We start from the raw sequence: 21,532 nt of genomic DNA, 5'->3' as shown, positions 1-21,532 counted from the left end.
GAAAAAAACCCCCAAAATAGAAAGCAAACAAGGAAACAGGCAAATGCTGATTGTGAAGCATTCTACAAGACAACTGTCCTAGATCCTTCAAAAAGGTCAATGACATGAAACATATACACCCCAAAAGGAGGGATTATTCTAGATTTAAAAGGCCAAAAGAGACACAACCAATTCATGAACCTTGGTTGGATTCTGAGTTGATTCTTTTTTAAAAGCTAAAAGGACATTTTGGGGAAGACTGGGGAAATCTGAACATGGAACATGGGTTGTTTATTAGACAATATTAGGAAATTGTTAGCTTTCTAAGGTGTGACAATAGTGTTGTGGTTATGCAGGAAAGTGTCCTTATCCATAGGAGATGCAGGCTGAGGAAACTCAAGATGTCTGCACTTATTTTTATTGTTTCAATGAAAACAAGGAAAAGTATTAAATGTGATAATAGTCTAACAATAAGTATTCATTGGTCTACTCTTTCAACTTTTCTTTAAATCTGAATATCTTTTTTTTATTATACTTTAAGTTCTAGGGTACATGTGCACAATGTGCAGGTTTGTTGCATATGTATACATGTGCCATGTTGGTGTGCTGCACCCATTAACTCGTCATTTACATTAGGTCTATCTCCTAATGCTATCCCTCCCCACTCTGCCCACCCCACGACAGGCCCCAGTGTGTGGTGTTCCACACCCTGTGTCCAAGTGTTCTCGTTGTTCAATTCCCACCTATGAGTGAGAACATGTGTTTGGTTTTCTGTCCTTGTGATAGTTTGCTCATGAATGATGATTTCCAGCTTCATCCATGTCCCTACAAAGGACATGAACTTATCCTTTTTTATGGCTGCATAGTATTCCATGGGGTATATGTGCCACATTTTCTTAATCCAATCTATCATTGATGGACATTTGGGTTGGTTTCAAGTCTTTGCTATGGTGAATAGTGCCACAATAAACATATATGTGCATGTGTCTTTATAGCAGCACGATTTATAATCCTTTGGGTATATACCCAGCAATGGGATGGCTGGGTCAAATGGTATTTCTAGTTTTAGATCCTTGAGGAATCACCACACTGTCTTCCACAATGGTTGAACTAGTTTACAGTCCCACCAATAATGTAAAAGTGTTCCTATTTCTCCACATCCTCTCCAGCACCTGTTGTTTCCTGACTTTTTAATGATTGCCATTCTAACTGGTGTGAGATGGCATCTCACTGTGGTTTTGATTTGCATTTCTCTGATGGCCAGTGATGATGAGCATTTTTTCATGTGTCTGTTGGCTCCATAAATGTTGTCTTTTGAAAAGCGTCTGTTCATATCCTTCACCCACTTCTTGATGGGGTTGTATGATTTTTTTTTCTTATAAATTTAAGCTCTTTGTAGATTCTGGATATTAGCCCTTTGTCAGATGGGTAGATTGCAAAAATTTTCTCCCATTTTGTAGGTTGCCTGTTTACTCTGATGATAGGTAGTTTTGCTGTGCAGAGGCTCTTTAATTAGATCCCATTTGTCAATTTTGGCTTTTGTTGCCATTGCTTTTGGTGTTTTAGATATGAAGTCCTTGCCCATGCCTATGTCCTGAATGGTATTGCCTAGGTTTTCTTCTAGGGATTTTATGGTTTTAGGTCTAACATTTAAGTCTTTAATCCATCTTGAATTAATTTTTGTATAAGGTGTAAGGAAGGGATCCAGTTTCAGCTTTCTACATATGGCTAGCCAGTTTTCCCAGCACCATTTATTAAATAGGGAATCCTTTCTCCATTTCTTGTTTTTGTCAGGTTTGTCAAAGATCAGATGGCTGTAGGTGTGTGGTGTTATTTCTGAGGGCTCTGTTCTGTTCCATTGATCTATATCTCTGTTTTGGTACCAGTACCATGCTGGTTTGGTTACTGTAGCCTTGTGGTATAGTTTGAAGTCAGGTAGCATGTTGCCTCCAGCTTTGTTCTTTTGGCTTAGGATTATCTTGGCAATGCAGGCTCTTTTTTGGTCCCATATGAACTTTAAAGTAGTTTTTTCCAATTCTGGGAAGAAAGTCATTGGTAGCTTGATGGGGATGGCATTGAATCTCTGAATTACCTTGGGCAGTGTGGCCATTTTCACGATATTGATTCTTCCTATCCATGAGCATGGAATGTTCTTCCATTTGTTTGTGTCCTCTTTTATTTTGTTGAGCAGTGGTTTGTAGTTCTCCTTGAAGAGGTCCTTCACATCCCATGTAAGTTGGATTCCTAGTTATTTTATTCTCTTTGAAGCAATTGTGAATGGGAGTTCATTCATGGTTTGGCTCTCTGTCTGTTATTGGTGTATAGGAATGCTTGTGATTTTTGCACATTGATTTTGTATCCTGAGACTTTGCTGAAGTTTCTTATCAGCTTAAGGAGATTTTGGGCTGAGACAATGGGGTTTTCTAAATATACAATCATGTCATCTGCAAACAGGGACAATTTGACTTCCTCTTTTCCTAATTGAATACCCTGTATTTCTTTCTCCTGCCTAATTGCCCTGGCCAGAACTTCCAACACTATGTTGAATAGGAGTGGTGAGAGAGGGCATCCCTGTCTTGTGCCAGTTTTCAAAGGGAATGCTTCCAGTTTTTTCCCCATTGAGTATGATATTGGCTGTCGGTTTGTCATAAATAGCTCTTATTATTTTGAGATATGTCCCATCAATACCTAATTCATTGAGAGTTTTTAGCATGAAGGGCCATTGAATGTTGTTGAAGGCCTTTTCTTCATCTATTGAGATAATCATGTGGTTTTTGTCTTTGGTTCTGTTTATATGATGGTTACACGTATTGATTTGCATATGTTGAGCCAGGCTTGCATCCCAGAGATGAAGCCAAATTGATCTTGGTGGATAAGCTTTTTGATGTGCTGCTGGATTCGGTTTGCCAGTACTTTATTGAGGATTTTTGCATCGATGTTCATCAGGGATATTGGTCTAAAATTCTCTCTTTTTTTTTGTTATGTCTCTGCCAGTCTTTGGTATCAGGATGATGCTGGCCTCATAAAATGAGTTAGGGAGGATTCCCTCTTTTCCTATTGATTGGAATAGTTTCAGAAGGGATGGTACCAGCTTTTCTTTGTACCTCTGTAGAATTTGGCTGTGAATCTGTCTCACCCTGGACTTTTTTTTGGTTGGTAGGCTCTTAATTATTGCCTCGATTTCAGAGCCTGTTATTGGTCTATTCAGGGATTCAAGTTCTTCCAGGTTTAGTCTTGGGAGGGTGTATGTGTCCAGGAATTTATCCATTTCTTCTAGATTTTCTAGTTTATTTGCGTAGAGCTGTTTATGGTATTCTCTGATGGTAGTTTGTATTTCTGTGGGATCGGTGGTGATATCCCCTTTATCATTTTTTATTGTGTCTATTTGATTCTTCTCTTTTCTTCATTAGTCTTGCTAGTGGCCTATCAATTTTGTTGATCTTTTCAAAAAACCAGCTCCTGGATTCATTTTTTTTTTTTTGAAAGTTTTTTTATGTCTCTATCTCCTTCAGTTCTGCTCTGATCTTAGTTATTTCTTGCCTTCTGCTAGCTTTTGAATGTGTTTGCTCTTCTCTAGTTCTTTTAATTGTGATGTTAGGGTGTCAATTTTAGATCTTTCCTGCTTTCTTTTGTGGGCATTTAGTGCTATAAATTTCCCTCTACACACTGCTTTGAATGTGTCCCAGAGATTCTGGTATGTTGTCTTTGTTCTCATTGGTTTTAAAGAACATCTTTATTTCTGCCTTCTTTTCGTTATGTACCCAGCAGTCATTCAGGAGCAGGTTGTTCAGTTTCCATGTAGTTGAGCGGTTTTGAGTGAATTTCTTAATCCTGAGTTCTAGTTTGATTACATTGTGGTCTGAGAGACAGATTGTTATAATTTCTGTTCTTTTCACATTTGCTGAGGAGTGCTTTACTTCCAACTATGTAGTCAATTTTGGAATAAGTGCAATGTGGTGCTGAGAAGAATGTGTATTCTGCTGATTTAGCATGGAGAGTTCTGTAGATGTCTACTAGTCTATGCACTTGGACTTTCAAGCCTCCAAGACTGAGCCAAATAACCTATTTTGAGTCACTCAGCCTCAGGTAATTCTGTGACAGCAACAGAAAACAGACTAAGACACACCCATATAATCCTCCCCGAGTAAGTGAAAGTCCATTGTCAAGCAACAAAGAGATATGCTTCTGGACTCGCTAGGGAAACACACCTCACTCCTCCTTTACCGCTCCACACAAGCACGGAGCCAAAAAGATCACCTTTCAGGATTCTCAAAATGCCCTCTGAAAACTCTGGTGAAGACCACACCTTCTGATTAGGAGTCTAGTTCATTAAGGCTGCTATGACAAAGTACTGTAGACTGGGTGTCTTACAAACAAAAAAGAGATATCTCACAGATCTCGAGGCTAAAAGTCCAAGATCAAGGTGCGGGCAGATTCAGGGTCTGGCGGGGTCTGCATCCTGGGTCACAGACAGCTGTCCTCTCACTGTCCTCATGTGGCGAAACAAGCATGCGATCTCTCTGGGGGCTCTTTTATCGGAAGCACTGGTGTAGTGTGGATGTTTGTCCCTTCCAAATCCCATGTTGAGGTTTGATCCCCATTGTTGGAGGTGGAGTCTAATGGGAGGTTTGGGGTCATGGGGTTGGCCCCTCATGAATACATGAATGCCCTCTCTGGGGAGGGGTAAGGTCTTAGTCTATTAGTTCCCATAAGAGCTGGTTGTTAAACAGAAACTGGCCCCTCCCCTCCTTCCTGCTTCCGTTCTCATCACGCGATCTCTGCACACACCAGCTCCCCTTCACCTTCTTCCACGCTTGGAAGCAGCCTGAGGCCCTCACCAGAATCCCAGTCCTGAAACTTCCAGCCAGCAGAACTGTGAGCTGAATAAACTTCTTTTCTCTATAAATTACCCAGCTTCAAGTCCTCCTTTATAGCAACAATAAATGGACTAAGAGGGGCTCTAATCCCATTCATGAGGGTTCCACCCTCACGACCTAATCACCTCCACAGGACCCACCACCAAATAGCATCACCTTGGGGGTTAAGGCTTCATATACGACTTTGGTGGGGATGTAAAGATTCCATTCATTGCACAGGGCAAAGGGAGGCCATAGCAGCAGGGTCATAGTGTTCTGGGGCTGCTCACTGCCCCTCACTCCCAGGCCTGCCCCACCTCAGCCAAGGCCTTCATGCTGCTCTGGGCTACCTCTCCCAGGTCCTGCATCCCAAGCAAAGGTGCAGACTCAATTGAGATCTCCTGAGACTCACTCCCTGCCCCTGCAACAAGATGGCCATGTCCTTGTCAAGTTCTTCTCTAGGAAAATGTGGGATTCACATAGAGGCTTGTATCTACCTGTGCAGAGGTTTTCCAGAGCCTCGTGTTACCTCCTCTATCTCATCATTGGTTTTTGGCTTCAGTCTCACCTTCTTGGTGATGTCTTTGTCCCTGTGTCATTCTAATCAAAGTAGCTCCCCAGTCCCCACTGTGTCTCTCCATCTTACTCCTCAGTTTTAGTTTCTTCAGAACAAATGTGACCAGAGCAATTGCCTGAATTATTCCCTTATTTTGTGGTGTGTTTTCATATTTATTGACTGATTTCTCCAACACTAATCACCACACCTAGAAAAGCTCCCTAGTATGTGGTCAGTGCTCAATAAATATTTGCGGAATGAATGAAATTGAGTTCTAAGCATAGGCACAGTGGGGGTTTTTTTTTTTAAGTTTTTCTGTGCTCTGTTCTTATTTTCTGTGATCTGCAAACTATCTCTAAATCCTTATGAAAGGTTGCATCCAACACTGTTTTTTTGCAGTGGGAAATTGAGAGGCCCATGTTGCACTCAAACAGAGCAGCGAAGCATTCGTCATCCCTCCCCTCAGGGCTGGGACTAACAGCAGGGTCTTCCTCAACAGGGTACAGCTATGCCCAGCTGAGTGACAAATGCTCTAGTCACAGAGAACACAGCAGCACAGGAGGCCAGCATGGTGGCCACAGGGGGGAGTTCACACATGGCCGCTTGTGGACAGGTGCAGGGTGGCAGCCCTGAGGAGGTTCAGAGATGACCAGGGACATCTTGAGGTAGCAGCATCAGTCATGAACCAGGATATAAAAATCCATGCTGCTTATTTAAACAGGATGTGTCATCAGATGGTGGGAGTATCTGGAAGCCAGTAGGGAACAATGAAGCAACCCAGAGGCTTTTAAACACAGGAAGTCGCTACCCTCCTAGGCTAGAGAAGCAGAGGAGGCAGTGCTGGAGGCAGATCCCGGGGTCCCTGGAAGAAGCAGCAGCCATGGAGGGCCTGAGGGAGGCAGCCAGGATGACTGGAGGGATGGAAGCTGTTGCTGTGTCCCCCAGAGAAGGGAAGAAAAGGCACCTGGACTCTGGCTTCCCTTTCTGCTCTCAGCAGCACCTCACAGTGGCCAAGCCCACCTGGAAGGCTGCGGGCAGAGAAGGCAGTACCCTGGGCTGAAGAGGCTGCCCTCCTGGGCTACAGCAGAGCAGGAGAGGGAGGAGGAGGGGCACTGAGCAGACAGGAGTGTCAGTCAGGATGACCCTGGCCCTGCATCCTCTGGGAGGTTATCAATGAAATCCGCCACCTTAAGTAGTTCAGGCTGATGGGACGAGAATGCTGGGTTATGTAATTGTCACGGTGTTCACTGAGGCAGATAACTAGAACAAATATAAACTTATTTGTTCCTGAGATTTGTTCCTTAAATCTCATTAAGGCTTCTTAAGCATTCACAAGATTGAAGCCACCTTTGCCAGAGGTTAGGATTAATAGGTGGGGTTAGATATCCTACCTGAAATTCAGTTCCAGAAATATTTACTGAGTATTTTTTACGTGGAAATCAGTGTTCCTAGTGTTAGAAATGCAAAATGTTTCTTCTTTTGTGCCACAAGGAAAAATCAGCATTCAGACAAAAAGTTCTCTCAGTGAGGCAATTTTTACTTTCTGCAGAAAGGGTACCCCTTGCAGATGGAACAATGGTGAGGACACACATAGAATAAAGAGACATCAGGGTATCTATTCCTTACGCATGAGGTCCCTATTGCTGTGTCCGTCCTGTCTCCGCTGGCTGGAGCCAGACCTCACAATCTAAATTAAAACCCGATTGGCTAATTTTAAGCTTTTTTAAATAGGTAGAAAAGTAATATTCCCAAATAAGAAAGGGGCATAGGCTGTGAGCTGGGGCATGCCTATGAGCACGTCCAACACAAATATCTTGGTTAAGGTACAAGGACATAGGATGTACAACTTGCCTGTGAGCATGTCTAACAGCTGTATAGCCTAGGGCTTAACAAAGTTATTAGCATAAAGCAAGGAGGCTTGAAGGAAGTTAGTCTTTAAAAGAAACTATCATTTCTAACATTTATGATTTATTCTTTCACAAGGAAAACTTTGAAGAGGAAACTTTACACTATTTTTTTTTTTTTTTTTATTATACTCTAAGTTTTAGGGTACATGTGCACATTGTGCAGGTTAGTTACATATGTATACATGTGCCATGCTGGTGCGCTGCACCCACTAATGTGTCATCTAGCATTAGGTATATCTCCCAATGCTATCCCTCCCCCCTCCCCCGACCCCACCACAGTCCCCAGAGTGTGATATTCCCCTTCCTGTGTCCATGTGATCTCATTGTTCAATTCCCACCTATGAGTGAGAATATGCGGTGTTTGGTTTTTTGTTCTTGCAATAGTTTACTGAGAATGATGGTTTCCAATTTCATCCATGTCCCTACAAAGGATATGAACTCATCATTTTTTATGGCTGCATAGTATTCCATGGTGTATATGTGCCACATTTTCTTAATCCAGTCTATCATTGTTGGACATTTGGGTTGGTTCCAAGTCTTTGCTATTGTGAATAGTGCCGCAATAAACATACGTGTGCATGTGTCTTTATAGCAGCATGATTTATACTCATTTGGGTATATACCCAGTAATGGGATGGCTGGGTCAAATGGTATTTCTAGTTCTAGATCCCTGAGGAATCGCCACACTGACTTCCACAATGGTTGAACTAGTTTACAGTCCCACCAACAGTGTAAAAGTGTTCCTATTTCTCCGCATCCTCTCCAGCACCTGTTGTTTCCTGACTTTTTAATGATTGCCATTCTAACTGGTGTGAGATGATATCTCATAGTGGTTTTGATTTGCATTTCTCTGATGGCCAGTGATGATGAGCATTTCTTCATGTGTTTTTTGGCTGCATAAATGTCTTCTTTTGAGAAGTGTCTGTTCATGTCCTTTGCCCACTTTTTGATGGGGTTGTTTGTTTTTTTCTTGTAAATTTGTTTGAGTTCATTGTAGATTCTGGATATTAGCCCTTTGTCAGATGAGTAGGTTGCGAAAATTTTCTCCCATGTTGTAGGTTGCCTGTTCACTCTGATGGTAGTTTCTTTTGCTGTGCAGAAGCTCTTTAGTTTAATTAGATCCCATTTGTCAATTTTGTCTTTTGTTGCCATTGCTTTTGGTGTTTTGGACATGAAGTCCTTGCCCACGCCTATGTCCTGAATGGTAATGCCTAGGTTTTCTTCTAGGGTTTTTATGGTTTTAGGTTTAACGTTTAAATCTTTAATCCATCTTGAATTGATTTTTGTATAAGGTGTAAGGAAGGGATCCAGTTTCAGCTTTCTACATATGGCTAGCCAGTTTTCCCAGCACCATTTATTAAATAGGGAATCCTTTCCCCATTGCTTGTTTTTCTCAGGTTTGTCAAAGATCAGATAGTTGTAGATATGTGGCATTATTTCTGAGGGCTCTGTTCTGTTCCATTGATCTATATCTCTGTTTTGGTACCAGTACCATGCTGTTTTGGTTACTGTAGCCTTGTAGTATAGTTTGAAGTCAGGTAGTGTGATGCCTCCAGCTTTGTTCTTTTGGCTTAGGATTGACTTGGCAATGCGGGCTCTTTTTTGGTTCCATATGAACTTTAAAGTAGTTTTTTCCAATTCTGTGAAGAAAGTCATTGGTAGCTTGATGGGGATGGCATTGAATCTGTAAATGACCTTGGGCAGTATGGCCATTTTCACCATATTGATTCTTCCTACCCATGAGCATGGAATGTTCTTCCATTTGTTTATGTCCTCTTTTATTTCCTTGAGCAGTGGTTTGTAGTTCTCCTTGAAGAGGTCCTTCACATCCCTTGTAAGTTGGATTCCTAGGTATTTTATTCTCTTTGAAGCAATTGTGAATGGGAGTTCACCCATGATTTGGCTCTCTGTTTGTCTGTTGTTGGTGTATAAGAATGCTTGTGATTTTTGTACATTGATTTTGTATCCTGAGACTTTGCTGAAGTTGCTTATCAGCTTAAGGAGATTTTGGGCTGAGACAATGGGGTTTTCTAGATAAACAATCATGTCGTCTGCAAACAGGGACAATTTGACTTCCTCTTTTCCTAATTGAATACCCTTTATTTCCTTCTCCTGCCTGATTGCCCTGGCCAGAACTTCCAACACTATGTTGAATAGGAGTGGTGAGAGAGGGCATCCCTGTCTTGTGCCAGTTTTCAAAGGGAATGCTTCCAGTTTTTGCCCATTCAGTATGATATTGACTGTGGGTTTGTCATAGATAGCTCTTATTATTTTGAAATATGTCCCATCAATACCTAATTTATTGAGAGTTTTTAGCATGAAGGGTTGTTGAATTTTGTCAAAGGCTTTTTCTGCATCTATTGAGATAATCATGTGGTTTTTGTCTTTGGCTCTGTTTATATGCTGGATTACATTTATTGATTTGTGTATATTGAACCAGCCTTGCATCCCAGGGATGAAGCCCACTTGATCATGGTGGATAAGCTTTTTGATGTGCTGCTGGATTTGGTTTGCCAGTATTTTATTGAGGATTTTTGCATCAATGTTCATCAAGGATATTGGTCTAAAATTCTCTTTTTTGGTTGTGTCTCTGCCCGGCTTTGGTATCAGAATGATGCTGGCCTCATAAAATGAGTTAGGGAGGATTCCCTCTTTTTCTATTGATTGGAATAGTTTCAGAAGGAATGGTACCAGTTCCTCCTTGTACCTCTGGTAGAATTCGGCTGTGAATCCATCTGGTCCTGGACTCTTTTTGGTTGGTAAACTATTGATTATTGCCACAATTTCAGAGCCTGTTATTGGTCTATTCAGAGATTCAACTTCTTCCTGGTTTAGTCTTGGGAGAGTGTATGTGTCGAGGAATGTATCCATTTCTTCTAGATTTTCTAGTTTATTTGTGTAGAGGTGTTTGTAGTATTCTCTGATGGTAGTTTGTATTTCTGTGGGATCGGTGGTGATATCCCCTTTATCATTTTTTATTGTGTCTATTTGATTCTTCTCTCTTTTTTTCTTTATTAGTCTTGCTAGCGGTCTATCAATTTTGTTGATCCTTTCAAAAAACCAGCTCCTGGATTCATTGAGTTTTTGAAGGGTTTTTTGTGTCTCTATTTCCTTCAGTTCTGCTCTGATTTTAGTTATTTCTTGCCTTCTGCTAGCTTTTGAATGTGTTTGCTCTTGCTTTTCTAGTTCTTTTAATTGTGATGTTAGGGTGTCAATTTTGGATCTTTCCTGCTTTCTCTTGTAGGCATTTAGTGCTATAAATTTCCCTCTACACACTGCTTTGAATGCGTCCCAGAGATTCTGGTATGTGGTGTCTTTGTTCTCATTGGTTTCAAAGAACATCTTTATTTCTGCCTTCATTTCGTTATGTACCCAGTAGTCATTCAGGAGCAGGTTGTTCAGTTTCCATGTAGTTGAGCAGTTTTGAGTGAGATTCTTAATCCTGAGTTCTAGTTTGATTGCACTGTGGTCTGAGAGATAGTTTGTTATAATTTCTGTTCTTTTACATTTGCTGAGGAGAGCTTTACTTCCAACTATGTGGTCAATTTTGGAATAGGTGTGGTGTGGTGCTGAAAAAAATGTATATTCTGTTGATTTGGGGTGGAGAGTTCTGTAGATGTCTATTAGGTCCACTTGGTGCAGAGCTGAGTTCAATTCCTGGGTATCCTTGTTGACTTTCTGTCTTGTTGAGCTGTCTAATGTTGACAGTGGGGTGTTAAAGTCTCCCATTATTAATGTGTGGGAGTCTAAGTCTCTTTGTAGGTCACTGAGGACTTGCTTTATGAATCTGGGTGCTCCTGTATTGGGTGCATAAATATTTAGGATAGTTAGCTCCTCTTGTTGAATTGATCCCTTTACCAATATGTAATGGCCTTCTTTGTCTCTTTTGATCTTTGTTGGTTTAAAGTCTGTTTTATCAGAGACTAGGATTGCAACCCCTGCCTTTTTTTGTTTTCCATTGGCTTGGTAGATCTTCCTCCATCCTTTTATTTTGAGCCTATGTGTGTCTCTGCACGTGAGATGGGTTTCCTGAATACAGCACACTGATGGGTCTTGACTCTTTATCCAATTTGCCAGTCTGTGTCTTTTAATTGCAGAATTTAGTCCATTTATATTTAAAGTTAATATTGTTATGTGTGAATTTGATCCTGTCATTATGATGTTAGCTGGTGATTTTGCTCATTAGTTGATGCAGTTTCTTCCTAGTCTCGATGGTCTTTACATTTTGGCATGATTTTGCAGCGGCTGGTACCGGTTGTTCCTTTCCATGTTTAGCGCTTCCTTCAGGAGCTCTTTTAGGGCAGGCCTGGTGGTGACAAAATCTCTCAGCATTTGCTTGTCTATAAAGTATTTTATTTCTCCTTCACTTATGAAGCTTAGTTTGGCTGGATATGAAATTCTGGGTTGAAAATTCTTTTCCTTAAGAATGTTGAATATTGGCCCCCACTCTCTTCTGGCTTGTAGGGTTTCTGCCGAGAGATCTGCTGTTAGTCTGATGGGCTTTCCTTTGAGGGTAACCCGACCTTTCTCTCTGGCTGCCCTTAACATTTTTTCCTTCATTTCAACTTTGGTGAATCTGACAATTATGTGTCTTGGAGTTGCTCTTCTCGAGGAGTATCTTTGTGGCATTCTCTGTATTTCCTGAATCTGAACGTTGGCCTGCCTTGCTAGATTGGGGAAGTTCTCCTGGATAATATCCTGCAGAGTGTTTTCCAACTTGGTTCCATTCTCCACATCACTTTCAGGTACACCAATCAGACGTAGATTTGGTCTTTTCACATAGTCCCATATTTCTTGGAGGCTTTGCTCATTTCTTTTTATTCTTTTTTCTCTAAACTTCCCTTCTCGCTTCATTTCATTCATTTCATCTTCCATTGCTGATACCCTTTCTTCCAGTTGATCGCATCGGCTCCTGAGGCTTCTGCATTCTTCACGTAGTTCTCGAGCCTTGGTTTTCAGCTCCATCAGCTCCTTTAAGCACTTCTCTGTATTGGTTATTCTAGTTATACATTCTTCTAAATTTTTTTCAAAGTTTTCAACTTCTTTGCCTTTGGTTTGAATGTCCTCCCGTAGCTCAGAGTAATTTGATCGTCTGAAGCCTTCTTCTCTCAGCTCGTCAAAATCATTCTCCATCCAGCTTTGTTCTGTTGCTGGTGAGGAACTGCGTTCCTTTGGAGGAGGAGAGGCGCTCTGCGTTTTAGAGTTTCCAGTTTTTCTGTTCTGTTTTTTCCCCATCTTTGTGGTTTTATCTACTTTTGGTCTTTGATGATGGTGATGTACAGATGGGTTTTCGGTGTAGATGTCCTTTCTGGTTGTTAGTTTTCCTTCTAACAGACAGGACCCTCAGCTGCAGGTCTGTTGGAATACCCTGCCGTGTGAGGTGTCAGTGTGCCCCTGCTGGGGGGTGCCTCCCAGTTAGGCTGCTCGGGGGTCAGGGGTCAGGGACCCACTTGAGGATGCAGTCTGCCCGTTCTCAGATCTCCAGCTGCGTGCTGGGAGAACCACTGCTCTCTTCAAAGCTGTCAGACAGGGACACTTAAGTCTGCAGAGGTTACTGCTGTCTTTTTGTTTGTCTGTGCCCTACCCCCAGAGGTGGAGCCTACAGAGGCAGGCAGGCCTCCTTGAGCTGTGGTGGGCTCCACCCAGTTCGAGCTTCCAGGCTGCTTTGTTTACCTAAGCAAGCCTGGGCAATGGCGGGCGCCCCTCCCCCAGCCTCGTTGCCGCCTTGCAGTTTGATCTCAGACTGCTGTGCTAGCAATCAGCGAGATTCCGTGGGCGTAGGACCCTCTGAGCCAGGTGTGGGATATAGTCTCGTGGTGCGCCGTTTCTTAAGCCGGTCTGAAAAGCGCAATATTCGGGTGGGAGTGACCCGATTTTCCAGGTGCGTCTGTCACCCCTTTCTTTGACTCGGAAAGGGAACTCCCTGACCCCTTGCGCTTCCCAGGTGAGGCAATGCCTCGCCCTGCTTCGGCTCGCGCACGGTGCGCACACACACTGGCCTGCGCCCACTGTCTGGCACTCCCTAGTGAGATGAACCCGGTACCTCAGATGGAAATGCAGAAATCACCCGTCTTCTGCGTCGCTCACGCTGGGAGCTGTAGACCGGAGCTGTTCCTATTCGGCCATCTTGGCTCCTCCTCACTTTACACTATTTTTTTAAGTCAGGCATATAAGAATAAGAGTTCCATATTCACTTTGTGAGGCTATATTTTCACATGTTCGCTTGGGCTGGGACTAAAACAACAGCCTTCCTTGAAACTAGGATATGGGAGTGATGGTAATAGGGCAATTGCATCATGATGAAAGAATACCTGAGACTGGGTAATTAATAAAGAAAAGGGGTTCAATTGGCTCATGGTCTGCAGTCTGGACATGAAGCATGGTGCTGGCATCTGCTTCTGGGGAGGGCCACAGGGAGCTTACAGTGACAGCGGAAGGTAAGGGGGGAGCCTGTGTCTCACACCACAAGAGTGGGAACAAGAGAGTGAGGGGGCAGGTGCCACACTTTACACAGCCAGGTGCCCATGAACTCAAAGCGAGAACTAATCACATGGGGGTGGTGCTGAACCATTCATGAGTGATCCAGTCCATGATCCAATCACGTCCCACCAGGCCCTGCCTCCAGCACTGGGGATTACATTTCTGCATAGGATTTGGAGTGCACAAATATCCAAATCATATCAGTAATTATTGCTGAATTTTGAAGCCCCTGGTCCCAGGGATAAACACCTTCCCAAACTGTGGCCTGGAAGACCAAGGGAGAATTTCCTGTCTCTGGGGCATGGATTACACCAGGGAAAAACATCAGGTGTTTGAGTGCCAATGGCTCTACCATTTGTAGGTTGTAACACATGATCAGAAGAATGCAACAGATCAAATATCCAGCTTTGCTAAGGTTGCAGAGTTTGGTCTGAGCTAGGAGTGCGCATTCTTCACCAAGGTCTTCCTCAGAATCTATGCCATGGGACCTGTGCTTGCTGAAGGGGGGATAAGCCACAGTTGAAGACACTCCAACTTCAGAGAACACAGCTCCCTTTAATACTGAAAAGCTTGCTGCCATCAGCACCCCAAGTTTTCTCCTTTCCTAGCCTTGGGTGTTCTACGTGTGTGAACTGTAGGAAAAGAGGAGACACCCAGCATGTAAGAGAGCAGTAGGGAGTACTCAGAACCCACTAAAGACAGCAGATCCTCCTGCTCTCAGCCCCAGGGCACCCCTACCCACCATCCCCCAGACCAAATGAACTCTGCTGTGCAGCTCCTCCTGCCTAAAATTGTCTCCATTCCTGTTTTTCATGCCGCAGGAAGTTAGACAAATGCTGAGGTTATCAGAACAGTAACAACAACAATACTTACTGCTGTGTGCCAGCGCCTTTATTGAAGTGTAATTTATATATCATGAAACTCACCAATTTTTAACATACAGTTCTATGAGTTTTAGCAAATGTCTAGAGTTCTGCAATCATCCCTGTGTTAAGGCTCAGAAAATCATACTACAAAGTGGAAAATGATACCCCAAGGTAGGGAGCTTTGACAGGCTGAACTGAGACAGCAGGCTCAGGGTCTCCCCCACCATACCCCTCCCCTCCTCCCACCTTTCCTCCCTTTGTCTCCCAAGAAGTGCAAGATTAGGCTCTTTTCTGAAGTTTCTTTACCTAGAAACTGGACTCACAAAGAGGAACACAATTGCTTTCAATCTCTCCCTGAAATTTCATTAACCAAAGAGGATTAGAACTTATGTAACAGAGGAAGAGACTGAAAATTAAACACCAACATTTACAGCCTAAACCAACTTTGTCCCAAATTGTTATTTGTTCTGTGCTCCCAACATCCAAAGTAAATAGACTACAGGATGATCTTTGCCTCCCAGGTCCATTCATCTCTCCTGAAAATCATTGACTCCCATACCGCCTATTTCCTCACCTCCCCTTCTCCCATGAAGTGAGGTATATAAGCACCTGGACCTCACCTGGGTTATTAGGTCATGATTCTTCTGCAATTCTTCCATTCTATACACATAAAAATAAACTTATATGCCTTTTCGCTCCTCATAATTTTTTTTTTGTTCATTCATTTTCAGTGAAATTTCAAAGGATAAAGAGGTAAGATTTCCCTTTTTGGCCCTATAACCACAATCTCATTTTGAAACACTTTCATCACCCCAAAAAAATTCTCTGTGCCCATCTGCAGGCAATCTCTCCTCCCAACACCAGCTCTAAGTAACCTGTAACCTACTTTCTGTCTATAAAGCTTCACCTCTTCCAGAAATTTTATAAAAATCAAGTCAAACAATAATTTTTTAAATATTTGACTTTTACTTGATTAAAATATTTGTGGTTAATTTTTGTTCTTGCCTGTACCAATAGTTTGCTCCTTCTTATTGAGAAGTATTTGTTCCATTGTATGGATGTACCGCGTTCTGTTTCTCTATTCACCAGTGAACGGAATTTAGATTGTTTCTAGTTTTTGGCTATTATGAATAGTATTGGTACAATGAACATTTGTGTAGGAGTCTGTGAATCTACATTTTTCTTTTGGGTGGTTGTCTAGGAATGGAACTTCTGGGATCTAGAATAAGTGTATGTTTAACTTGTTAAACTGCCTCACTGTTTTTCAATGTGGCTGCACCATCTTACATTTTTCATTAGCCATGTTTGACTCTCCTGCCCAGAGACAGCCACCTCATCCTGTTTCTCCACCTTTGTTTGCTTTGTTTTGCTGACTGTGCCCACTGGTGTTTCTAGGTCATGAGCCTCCTCAGTGCCCAGTCCAGGATATACAGGAGGCAAAAAGATCCAGAGGACTTACTGCCCAGTCATCTCTTCAGTCCTGGGGTCTAGGTCCCTAGACAGTCTGCCTTCTTTTCTCAACATTTCAGAGACTTTTACTGTTTTTAGGTGTAACGGGTAGGGGAGCACATTTAAGTGCGACACTACATTTCTGGAACCAGAAGCAGGTGTCATGGTTAAGAGCATGCGCAAGTCTAAATCACACTGCCAAGTCTCATCTCCTGTCTCTGGCTTACTTCTCCCACGTCCCGGGAGAAGTCCAGCAGAGGCATTGGCTCCAAATCGAATCTCCTGAGACTCACTCCCCTTCCCCCCGCAACAATATGACCGTGTCCTTGTCAAGTTCTCCTTTAGGAAAGTACTTGAGTCACGCCAAGAATAGTACCTGTCTGAGCAGAGGTTCCCTAGAGCACCATGTCACCCCCTCTCTCTCATCATTTTGTTCTTAGCTTCAGTCTCATCTTCTCAGTGAGGTCTTCATCCCTGTGTCACTCTATTCAGCGTAGCTTCCCAGTCCCCATTATCTGTCTCCTTCTCAACCCTCTGTTTCAGTTTCTTAAGAATTGTCATTGTTAGTAATTATTTGATTTATTCACTTATTTCATGGTGTGTTTTCATAATTATTTTGATTCTTCCAACTCTAACTACCACACCGAGAAAAACTCCCTAGTATTAAACACATCTTTGTTAATCGAAATAGGAACGATTACGACCAACACATTTTTGCCAATGAGAAATAAGTTTGTTCCTATAACATAAAAATCCATGCTTCAGCATTCTATGAACTCTCAGAAAGCATTTTCTGTATCAAGCTGGTTGTGGAAGCATTTTCCCTGCAAAAAGTTGTCAGATGCTTCAAAAAGTGGTAGGTGGTTGGTGAGAGGTCAGGTGAATATGGCGAATGAGTCAAAACTTTGTAGCACAATTCCTTCCATTTTTGAAGTGTTGGTTGTGCAACGTGCAACTGGGCGTTGTGGAGAAAAACTGGGCCATTTATGTTGACCAGTGACTGCTATAGGCATTGCAGTTTTCAGTGCATCTCATATATCTGCTGAGCATACTTCTCAGATGTGATTTTGCTGGGATTCAGAAAGCAGTAGTGGATCAGACCAGCAGCAGATCACCAAACAGTGACCATGACCTTTTTTGGTACAAATTTGGCTTTGGGAAGTGCTTTGGGGCTTCTTGGTCCAACCATTGAGCTGATCCTCATCAGTTGTCTTATAAAACTCACTTTTTGTTGCATGTTACAATCAAATCATGCAATGGTTCATTGTTGTTGCATAGGATAAGAGAAAATGAAACTTCATGGTTCTTTTGATTTTTTGCTCAGCTCATGAGGTACCACTTATTTCACCTTTCCAATTTGCTTCAAATGCTAAACGTCTGTAGAATGATCGATGTTGAGTTCTTTGGCAACTTCTTGTAAGAGGATCAGCTTTGATTGCTTTCAATTTGTAGTTGTCAACTTTCGATGGCCGGCCACTACATCATCTTCAAGGCTCTTGTCTTTGTAAAACTTCTTGAACGACCACTGCACTGTATATTAGTCAGCAGTTCCTGGGCTAAGTGTGTTTTTGTTGTTGTGTGTTTCTGCTGCTTTACAAATCATTTTGAACTCGAATAAGAAAATCACTCGAATTTGCTTTTTGTCTAATGTAATTTCCAGTCTAAAATAAACATAAAATAAACAGCAAGTAATAAGTCACTAGCAAAATAAAGTGAGAAATGCCCATTAAAATGATACATAATATAATCACATTTATTTAAGAATGTATTCTAGTATCAAACAGCAAATTCCAACAATGCAAAAACCACAATTTTTTTTATTCTTTAAGTTCTGGGATATGTGTGCAGAATGTGCAGGTTTGTTACATAGGTATACACATGCCATGGTGGTTTGCTGCACCCATCAATCCATCTACGTTACGTATTTCTCGTAATGCTATCCCTTCCCCATCCCCCCACCCCACAACAGGCCCCCGGTGTGTGATGTTCCCCACCCTGTGTCCAAGTGTTCTCATTGTTCAATTCCCACCTATGAGTGAGAACATGTGGTGTTTGGTTTTTCTGTCCTTGCAATGGTTTGCTCAGAATGATGGTTTCCAGCTTCATCCATGTCCCTACAAAGGACATGAACTCATGCTTTTTTATGGCTGCATAGTATTCCATGATGTATATGTGCCACATTTTCTTTATCCAGTCTATCACTGATGGACATTTGGGTTGGTTCCAAGTCTTTGCTATTGTGAATAGTGCCACAATAAACATATGTGTGCATGTGTTGTCTTAGTAGAATGATTTATAATCCTTCAGGTATATACCCAGTAATGGGATTGCTAGGTCAAATGGTATTTCTGGTTCTAGATCCTTGTTGAATTGTCACACTGTCTTCCACAATGGTTGAACTAATACACTCTCACCAACAGTGTAAAAGAATTCTTATTTTTCCACATTCTCTCCAGCATCTGTTGTTTCCTGACTTTAATGATTGCCATTCTAACTGGCATGAGATGGTATCTCATTGTGGTTTTGATTTGCGTTTCTCTAATGAGTAATGTTGAGCTTTTTTCGTGTTTGACTGCATAAATGTAGTCTTTTGAGAAATGTCTGTTCATATCCTTTGCCCACTTTTTGATTTTTTTTTTTTTGTCTGTAAATTTAAGTTCCTTGTAGATTCTGGGTATTAGCCCTTTGTCAGATGGATAGATTACAAACATTTTCTCCCAGGGTTGCCTGTTCACTCTGATAGTTTCTCTGGCTGTGCAGAAGCTCTTTAGTTTAATTGGATCTTATTTGTCAATTTTGGCTTTTGTTGCCATCGCTTTTGGTGTTTTAGTCATGAAGTGTTTGCCCATGCCTATCTCCTGAATGGTATTGCCTAGGTTTTCTTCTAGAGTTTTACTGGTTTTGGGTCTTACGTTTAAGTCTTTAATCCATCTTGAGTTAATTTTTGTATAAGGTGTAAGGAAGGGGTCCGGTTTGTTGTCTGCATATAGCCAGTTTTCCCAACACCATTTATTAAATAGGGATTCCTTTCAGCATTGCTTGTTCTTGTCAGGTTTGTCAAAGATCAGATGGTTGTAGATGTGTGGTGTTATTTCTGAGGGCTCTGTTCTTGTTCTTTTAGTCTATATATGTTTTGATACCAGTACCATGCTGTTTTGGTTACTGTAGCCTTGCATAGTTTGAAGTCAGGTAGCATGATGCCTCCAGCTTTGTTCTTTTTGCTTAGGATTGTCTTGGCTGTACAGGCTCTTTTTAGGTTCCATATGAAATTTACAGTAGTTTTTTCTAATTCTGCAAAGAAAGTCATTGGTAGCTTGATGGGGATAGCACTGAATCTATAAATTACTTTGGGCAGTATGGACATGTTCATGATATTAATTCTTCCTATCCATGAGCATGGAATGTTTTCCCATTTGTTTGTGTCCTCTCATTTCCTTGAGCAGTGGTTTGTAATTCTCCTTGAAGAGGTCCTTCACATCCCTCTTAAATGTATTCCTATGTATTTTATTCCCTTTGTAGCAATTGTGAATGGGAGTTCACTCATGATTTGGCTCTGCCTTTATTGGTGTATAAGAATGCTTGTGATTTTTGCACATTGATTTTGTGTCCTGAGACTTTGCTAAAGTTGTTTCATCAGCTTAAGGAGATTTTGGGCTGAGACAATGGGCTTTTTAAAATATGCAATCGTGTCAGTTGCAAACAGATAATTTGACTTCCTCTCTTCCTGTTTGAATATCCTTTATTGCTTTCCCTTGCCTGATTGCCCTGGCCAGAACTTCCAATACTATGTTGAATAGGAGTGGTGAGAGAGGGGATCCTTGTCTTGTGCCAGTTTTCAAAAGGAATGCTTCCAGCTTTTGCCCATTCAGTGTGATATTGGCTGTGGGTTTGTCATAAATAGCTCTTATTGAGATGTTCCATCAATACCTAGTTTATTGAGAGTTTTTAGCGTGAAGCGCTATTGCATTTTATCGAAGGCCTTTTCTGCATCTATTGAGATAATAATGTGGTTTTTGTCATTGGTTGTTTATTTGATGGATTATGTTTATTGATTTGCATGTGTTAAACCAGTCTTGTATTCCAGGGATGAAGCCGACTTGATTGTGGTGGATACGCTTTTTGATGTGCTGCTGAAATTGGTTTGCCAGTGTGTTATTGACGATTTTTGCATCGATGTTCATCAGGGATATTGGCCTGAATTTTTTGTCATGTCTCTGCCAGGTTTTGGTATCAGGATGATGCTGGCATCGTAAAATGAGTTAGGGAGGAGTCCCTCTTTCTCCACTGCTCAGAATAGTTTCAGAAGGAATGGTACCAGCTCCTCTTTGTTCCTCTGGTAGAATTTGGCTGTGAATCTGTCTTGTCCTGGTCTTTTTTTTGGTTGGTAGGCTATTACTGCCTCAGTTTCAGAACTTATTATCGGTCTCTTCATGGGTTCAACTTCTTTCTTGTTTGGTCTTGGGAGGGTATATGTGTCCAGAAATTTATCCATTTCTTCTAGATTTTCTAGTTTGCATAGAGGTGTTTATAGTATTCTCTGATAGTAGTTTATATTTCTGTGGGATCAATGGTGATATCTCCTTTATCATTTTTTATTGTATCTATTTGATTCTTTATTAGTCTGGCTAGTTGTATATTTGTTGATCTTTTCAAAAAACCAGCTCCTGGATTCATTGTTTTTTGTTTGTTTTTGTTTTTTCTGTGTGTGTGTGTGTGTGTGTGTTTGTTTTTTTTTTTTTTGGCGGGGTTGGGGGTGTGTGTGGTTTTTATGTCTCTGTCTCCTTCAGTTCTGTTCTGATCTTATTTCTTGTCTTCTGCTAGCTTTTAAATTTGTTTCTTCTTCTCTAATTCTTTGAATTGTGATGTTAGGGTGTCAATTTTAGATCTTTCCTGCTTTCTTCTGTGGTCATTTAGTGCTATAAATTTGCCTCTAAAGATTGCTTTAGCTGTGTCCCAGAGATTCTGGTACATTGTGTCTTCGTTCTCATTGGTTTCAAAGAACTTATTTATTTCTGCCCTAATTTCGTTATTTACCCAGTAGTCATTCAGGAGCAGGTTGTTTAGTTTCCATGTAGTTGTGTGGCTTTGAGGGAGTTTCCTAATCCTGAGTTCTAATTTGATTGCACTGTGGTCTGAGAGACTGTTATGATTTCCATTCCTGTACATTTGCTGAGGAGTCTTTTATTTCCAATTATGTGGTCAATTTTAGAATAAGTATGATGTGGTACTAAGAAGAATGTATATTCTGTTGATTTGGGGTAGAGAGTTCTGTAGATGTCTATTAGGTCTGCTTGGTCCAGAGCTGAGTTCAAAGTCCTGAATATCCTTGTTAATTTTCTCTCTTGTTGATCTGTTTAATATTGACAGTGGGGTGTTAAAGTCTCCCACTATTATTGTGTGTGAGTCTAAGTCTCTTTGAAGGTCTCTAAGAACTTCTTT

General features: G+C 41.5%; 1 annotated feature.

The window, feature by feature from the left end:
- Positions 235-404: an enhancer, noted in NCBI's record as "experimental_13180 CRE fragment used in MPRA reporter constructs". NCBI's record gives its function as "activates a minimal promoter by MPRAs in K562 erythroleukemia cells, with activity observed for both the introgressed and non-introgressed 10:5300437 variant alleles {active_cell/tissue: K562}" and the evidence as "EXISTENCE:reporter gene assay evidence [ECO:0000049][PMID:34662402]".

Source organism: Homo sapiens, chromosome 10 (genome assembly GCF_000001405.40).
Source record: "Homo sapiens chromosome 10, GRCh38.p14 Primary Assembly".
NCBI classification, from domain to species: Eukaryota; Metazoa; Chordata; class Mammalia; order Primates; family Hominidae; genus Homo; species Homo sapiens.
The sequence above is the reverse complement of the archived record's forward strand: the minus strand, read 5'-3'. Positions and strand labels throughout refer to the sequence as shown.